The following is a 7,925-nucleotide window of genomic DNA, read 5'->3' on the forward strand; positions in this document are numbered from 1 at the left end:
GAGGACTTTAATCACTATTAATAAAAGTGTAATTTATTGCAAATTGCCGAAAGAGTGTGATTTGGCAACCTATATAAGAACCAGAAATTTCACTTCTGAGAATTTGCCCTAAGGCAATAAATCCATCCTGGTGACCAAAAGCACATAAACATTGTTTATGGAACCCAGGATGTGGCTGCAGACTGACTGGGGTTCCACCTTGCACCAACCTCAACACGCAACCTCACCCCTTCAGGGGATTCCACCAGGAACCCAGTCACAGTGAGGATGCAGGGATTTTTGCAGCTGTGCCGAGGTAGGCAGAAACACAGGTGGGACATCACATCTCTCAGTGGCATTTCCCTGGAAAATCCTCTAAAGATCTGCCTTTTCAGCCTCCAGCTCTCCTCTGACCCACCCTGAGGCCCCTCCAAACCCTTATTATTCAGAAAATCAGGTGGCCAGTCTTGAAAATCCAGCCCCAGAGGTTGGCATCTGCTCCACAGGCAGGGTTTATCAGACCAGATTATTTCTGCCCAAGAGGCAGGATTGTCATATTAACTGCTGACAACATAAAAATGTCTCTGTGTTAATACATTTATAATAGCAAAAAAATAGGCCACAAGTATAAATGTACAGTATAGGGGATTACATAAATTATGATACATTCATACAATGGACAAACTTTTGAAAAGAATGAGTTGGCCGGGTGCGGTGGCTCATGCCTGTAATCCCAGCACTTTGGGAGGCCGAGGTGGGCAGATTAGGAAGTCAGGAGATCGAGACCATCCTGCCTAACATGGTGAAACCCCATCTCTACTAAAAATACAAAAAATTAGCTGGGTGTGGTGGCACGCATCTGTAGTCCCAGCTACTTCGGAGGCTGAGGCAGGAGAATCACTTGAACACAGGAGGTGGAGGTTGCAGTGAGCCGAGATCGCGCCACTGTACTCCAGCCTGGGCAACAAAGCGAGACTCCATCTCGAGAAAAAAAAAAAAAGAACAGAATGAGTTGGGTCCATTTTGGACTAACATGGGATGAGCCAGGTGTGGTGGCATGTGGCTGTAATCCCAGCTACTCAGGAGCCCAAGGTGGAAGGATCACTTGAGGCCCGAAGTTCAAAAGCAGCCTGGACAACATAGTGAGATCCTGTCTCTAAAAAATAAATAAAATAAAATGCAGTGATGTCTAAGAGGTACAGCTGGCTGGGTGCTGTGGCTCATGCCTGTAATCCCAGCACTTTGGGAGGCAGAGGTGGGTAGATCACCTGAGGTCAGGAGTTCAAGACCAGCCTGGCCAATATGACGAAACCCTGTCTCTACTAAAAATACAAAAAAATTAGCTAGGCGTGGTGGTGCATGCCTGTAGTCCTAGCTACTCAGGAGACTGAGGCAGGAAAATCACTTGAATCCAGGAGGCAGAGGTTGCAGTGAGCCAAGATTGCGCCATTGCACCCCAGCCTGGGCAACAAGAGTGAAAAAAAAAAAAAAAAAAAAGAGGTACAGATGAAGGCAACAGACTTGCAGAACAGGATATATGCTATGAACACATTGTCAGTTTTGTGCATTGAGGTACCCCAATGTCTTGAGCAATTCCTGGCATAAAAGAGGTACGCAAGTATTTGTTGAATGGATGAATGTTTGTTAAAAGAAAGATGTAGGAGGCCTAGAATCTTGTCTACCGTTATCTCCAGAGTCTCCCAATGGCTGGGAAATTGCCTAGGGGCCCATAGTGTGTCCTTTAAAAATATGTAACAGGACTGGTGAAGTAGCTTATGCCTGTAATTGCAGCACTTTGGGAGGCTAAGGCAGGAGTATCACTTGAGCCTGGGAGTTCAAAACCAGCCTGGGCAGCATGGGAAGACCCTGTCTCTACATGAAATTTAAAACTTAGCCAGGAGTAGTGTTACGTGCCTGTAATCCCAGGTACTCAGGAGGCTAAGGTGGGAGGATCAATTGAGCCCCCGATGTCGAGGCTACAGTAAGCCATGATTGTGCCACTGCACTCCAGCCTGGATGACAGAGCGAGACCCTATCTCAAAAAGAAAAATAAAAAATACACAATAGTTATCAGCTACTAATCCTGAGGACAGGGATACTGAAGAAAGAAAGAAAAGAGATCACTTTTTACTTTACGTGATGCTATATTGTTTACCTTACATGCATGTAATACTATCGTGAAAATTCATAATAGTAGAGGTTGGGAGCAGAAAGCTTGAAGTTCTGAGAAAAACAAGGGCAAATAAGTATGATATCTTACAATCTGTTATACCTCTAATTGTTCTCATTTTAACTACTTCACTCAAGCCATTTTCTTCTAAACCTCTCTAAGTAACCCAGGAAAAAATAAAAATTAGCATCTGTATGACTGCTTGACCAGGCCTGTTTACATTAACAATCCCTTCAGGTCCACAAGTTTAAATCTTAAGTAACACAGATTTTTGATTGCCTAAAAACCACCATTTCACCAATACAACAATAGCTGGAGCTTTTACCATAGCACAAATTGACATTTGGGTATTGTTCTAAAATGACATGTCCATAGTTCAATAGTTGAGTGAGATTTTGGGTTTTTTTGTTTTGTTTTGTTTTGTTTTTAGACAGGGTCTTGCTCTGTCACTCAGGCTAGAGAGCAATGGTACAATCATAGCTCACTGCAGCCTCCAACTCCTAGGCTCAAGTGATTCTCCCATCCTCACCTCCTGCCTCAGCCTCCCAAATAGCGGGGACTATACAGGTGACCACCACAATCGAGAGTTTTCTTTTTTTCCTTTACGTGGATTGCAGATTTGATGGCAGTAGTAAAAAAAGTCAACACAGGCCAGGTGCGGTGGCTCATGCCTGTAATCCCAGCACTTTGGGAGGCCGAGGTGGGCAGATTACCTGAGGTCAGGAATTCGAGACCAGCCTGACCAACATGGAGAAACCCTGTCTCTACTAAAAATACAAAAATTAATCAGGCGTGGTGGTACATGCCTGTAATCCCAGCTGCTCGGGAGGCTGAGGTAGGAGAATTGCTTGAACCCAGAAGGCAGAGCTTGCAGTGAGCCAAGATTGAGCCATTACACTCCAGTCTGGGCAACTAGAGTGAAACTACGTCTCAAAAAACAAAGTCAACACAAAATAGAGGGAGATTTCCTGGCTCTGCTGCCCCAGTCCGTGCTAGCCCCTGAGCTTCAGCACTGTGACATGTCCTAAATCTCCTTAACTTCCCCATCAATTCCATGAAGAATACCTTAGCTGATCCTCTTACTCATTATCGCTCACTGAGTTACCCCGTGAGGCCAGAAGACAGCCTTGTATATTGTTTCAATATATAACATATATTGTTTCAATATATAACATATTGTTTCAATATATAACATATATTGTTTCAATATATAACATATATTGTTTCAATATATAACATATATTGTTTCAATATATAACATATATTGTTTCAATATATAACATATATTGTTTCAATATATAACATATATTGTTTCAATATATAACATATATTGTTTCAATATATAACATATATTGTTTCAATATATAACATATATTGTTTCAATACATAACATATATTGTTTCAATACATATTATATATTGTTTCAATACATATTATATTGTTTCAATACATAATATATTGTTTCAATACATAATATATTGTTTCAATATACAATATATTGTTTCAATATATAATATATATTGTTTCAATATATTATATACTGTTTCAATATATATTATATACTGTTTCAATATATATTATATATTGTTTCAATATATAATATATAGTTTCAATATATATTATATATTGTTTCAATATATAATATATATTGTTTCAATATGTATTTTCCCCCAAAATCTCCCAAGTGAATCTGATGTTCCAAGGAAGACATGAATCTATCCGGTGGTTTCAAGTCTCCCCAGCACACAAACTGACTTAGAAAACCTGGCCACAGGCCTTTCCCACCTTATCTTCAGCTCTGATTTGATTATCAAAGTTTTCTGGCAATTACAGGACTCCAGGATCTGTAGGCTTCAATCAACAGCTCACACCACCTCCCTAACAAATGGCTGTCCTTATCATTCTTCTGCTCACAAAGCATAAGGGCCCCTATTTTCTTTTCTTTTTTTTTTTAATTTTTTATTTTATTTTATTTCATTTTTTTGAGATGGAGTTTCTGTCTTGTTGCCCAGGCTGGAGTGCAATGGCGCGAACTCAGCTCACTGCAAACTCTGCCTCCTCGGTTCAAGGGATTCTCTTCTCAGCCTCCCGAGTAGCTGCAATTACAGGCATGAACCACCATGCCTGGCTAATTTTGTATTTTTAGTAGAGATGGGGTTTCTCCATGTTGGTCAGGCTGGTCTCGAACTCCTGACCTCAGATGATCCACCCGCCTCAGCCTCCCAAAGTGCTGGGATTACAGGCGTGAGCCACCACACCTGATCATTTTTTTTTTTTTAAGACAGTCTTGCTCTGTCACTGAGGCTGGAGTGCAGTGGTGTGATCTCGGCTCACTGCAACCATCACCTCCTGGGTTCAAGTGATTCTCCTGTCTCAGCCTCCCGAGTAGCTGGGTTTACAGGCACAGGCCAACACACCCAGCTGATTTTTGTATTTTTAGTAGAGACGGGGCTTCACCATGTTGGCCAGGCTTGTTTCAAACTCCTAACCTCAAGTGATCCACCCGCCATGGCCTCCCAAAGTGCTGGGATTATAGGAGTGAACCACCGCGCTTGGCCCAGGGCCCCTGTTTTCCTTTGCATCTGGTAGGAACTCCTTTGTCTTGCTTTTGAAGATCTCCACCGTCAGACTGCAATCTCCTGGTTACTAGAGTCTCCACACATGCTGGTGGCCCCCGCATCCACAAAAGGCCCCTCCATTCATAAACACCACATGCTTGCCCCTACCTTTATGTCTGGAATTTCTTCCCCACTTGCCTCTAAGTGTCCAAATTATGTTATATCATGTTCTTCCAGATTTAGCTTAAGTTTTCCTTCTTAAATTTAATGGAATTTGCCCTTTTCACAAGATGGCGTTGAAAGCAAAGAAGGAAGCGCTTGCCCCTCCTAAAGCCGAAGCCAAAGCGAAGGCTTTAAAGGCCAAGAAGGCAGTGATGAAAGATGTCCACATCCACAAAAAAAGAAGACCCGCACGTCACCCACCTTCCAGAGGCCCAGGACACTGCGACTCGAGGCCACCCAAATATCCTCGGAAGAGCGCCCCCAGGAGAAACAAGCTTGACCGTTATGCCATCATCAAGTTTCTGTGGACCACTGAGTCCGCCATGAAGAAGATAGAAGACAACACCACATATGTGTTCAGGGTGGATGTTAAAGCCAACAAGCAGCAGATCAAACAGGCTGTGAAGAAGCTCCCTGACAATGATGCGGCCAAGGTCAACACCCTGATTCGGCCCGATGGAGAGAAGAAGGCATATGTTCAACTGGCTCCAGATTACGATGTTTTGGATGTTGCCAAAAAAAAATGGGATCATCTAAACTGAGTCCAGCTGGCTAATTCTAAATATGTGTATCTTTTCACCAAAAAAAAAAAAAAAATTAATGGAATTTAACGATTCTCTGCTCTTCCAAAATGTAGTAACAGCAGGAGTCTGCATCAACAATTTGGCTCATCACTTGATTTTTTTTTTTTTTTTTTTTTTTTTTTTTTTTTGAGACAGAGTCTCTCACTGTCACCCAGGCTGGAGTGCAGCGGTGTGATCTCGGCTCACTGCAACCTCTGCCTCCCGGGTTCAAGTGGTTCTCCTGCCTCAGCCTTCCGACTAGCTGCGACTACAGGCCCATGCCACCACGCCCAGCTAATTTTTGTATTTTTAGTAGAGATGGGGTTTCACAATGTTGTCCAGGATGGTCTCGATCTCTTGACCTCGTGATCCGCTTGCCTTGGCCTCCCAAAGTGCTGGGATTACAGGTGTGAGCCACTGGCGCCCGGCCCATCACTTGATTTTTTTCCTCTTTTTTATTTATTTATTTATTTATTTATTTATTTATTTATTTATTTATTTTGAGACAGAGTCTTGCTCTGTTATCCAGGCTGGAGTACAGTGGCATGATCTTGGCTCACTGGAACCTCCGCCTCCCAGGTTCAAGTGATTCTTGTGCCTTAGCTTCCCCAGTAGCTGGGGTCACAGGCAAGCGCCACCACGCCCAGCTAAATTTTTTCGTATTTTTAGTAGAGATGGGGTTTCACCATGTTGGCCAGGCTGATTTCGAACTCCTGGCCTCAAGTGATGCGCCTGCCTCAGCTTTCCAAAGTGCTGGGATTACAGGCATAAGCCACCACGCCCAGGCTTTTTTTTTTTTTTTTTTTTTTTTTTCTGAGGTGGAGTTTCCCTCTTTGTTGCCCAGGCTGGAGTGCAATGGCACAATCTTGGCTCATTGCAACCTCCACCTCCTGGGTTCAAGCGATTCTCCTGCCTCATCCTCCCAAGTGGCTTGGATTACAGGTGCCCACCACCACGCCCAGCTAATTTTTATATTTTTAGTACAGACAGGGTTTCACCATGTCGGCCAGGCTGGTCTTGAACTCCTGACCTTGTGATCCACCCACCTCGGCATCCCCAAGTGCTGGGATTACAGGCATGAGCCATTGCGCCCAGCTTTTTTTTTTTTTTTTTTTTTTTTTTTGAGACAGAGTCTCACTCTGTCATCCAGGCTGGAGTGGCATGATCTTGGCTAACTGCAACCTCCACCTCCTGGGTTCAAGCAATTCTCCTGCCTCACCCTTCCAAGTAGTTGGGACTACAGGCCTGCGCCACCACGCCCAGCTAATTTTTGTATTTTTAGTAGAGATGGGGTTTCACTTTATTGGCCAGCCTGGTCTCGAACTCCTGACCTCAAGTGATCTGCCTGCCTCAGCCTCCCAAAGTGCTGGAACTACAGGTGTAAGCCACCTCGCCTGGCCGACGCACCCAACCTTTTCCTCACATTTTGGATAATGCCTTATCTCTGATCCCTAAGTCCTCAACTAAACCATCCCAGTAGCCCTTTCCCTTCCCCACACCCCTGACTCCATGCCAAGTTCCTGCCTTGGTCCCTGTCTCCTCTTGCCCTTCCAGGCCTCCCAGAGGCAATTATCCTGGCTTTGAACCCCAGCTCACCCTACCTTCATTTCAGTGTTCCCCGATGGCTACCTATTGCCGGTGCCAGGTGCTAAGAGGTTCTACCCCCAGGCTGGACACCTTCCTGTAGCCTCCTAATGGTGGCCTCTGGGTTCCAACCCTCTCAGACAGATGGAACGTTAGTTACTACATTTCCAAAGCCTCCACAACTCCACCAAAGGAATTACATTTATGTTGGGCCATGGCAGCTCATGTCTGTAATCCCAGCACTTTGGGAAGCCAATATGGGAGGATCGCTAGAAGCCAAGAGTTCAATGCCAGCCTGGACAATATAGCAAGACCCTATCTCTACAAAAAAATATTTAAAATTTAGCCAAGTGTGGGCCAGGCACGGTGGCTCATGCCTGTAATCCCAGCACTTTGAGAGGCTGAGGTGGGCAGATCACCAGAGGTCAGGAGTACAAGACCAGCCTGCCCAACACTGTGAAACCTCGCCTTTTCTAAAAATACAAAAATTGGCTTGGCGTGGTGGCGGGCACCTATAATCCCAGTTACCCAGGAGATTAAGGCTGAAGAATCGCTTGAACCCAGGAGATGGAGGTTGAAGAGAGCCAAGATCGCACCACTGCATTCCAGCCTGGGCAACAAGAGCGAGACTCCGTCGCAAAAAATAAATAAATAAATAAATAAATAAGTAAATAAATAAATAAATAAATAAATAAAATACAATTTAGCCAAGTGTGGTGGCTTACACCTGTGGTCCTAGCTACCCAAGAGGCTTAGGCAGGAGGGTCACTTGAACCCAAGAGGTCAAGGCTGCAGTGAGCTATGATTACACCACTGCACTCCAGCCTGGGTAGAGTGAGATGCTGTCTC

At 44.2% G+C, this 7,925-nt stretch overlaps 1 pseudogene; it reads left to right on the forward strand.

Moving 5' to 3' along the window:
- RPL23AP71 (ribosomal protein L23a pseudogene 71) lies at nucleotides 4,985-5,511 on the forward strand (annotated as a pseudogene).

This window comes from Homo sapiens, chromosome 14 (genome assembly GCF_000001405.40).
Source record: "Homo sapiens chromosome 14, GRCh38.p14 Primary Assembly".
Classification (NCBI taxonomy): Eukaryota; Metazoa; Chordata; class Mammalia; order Primates; family Hominidae; genus Homo; species Homo sapiens.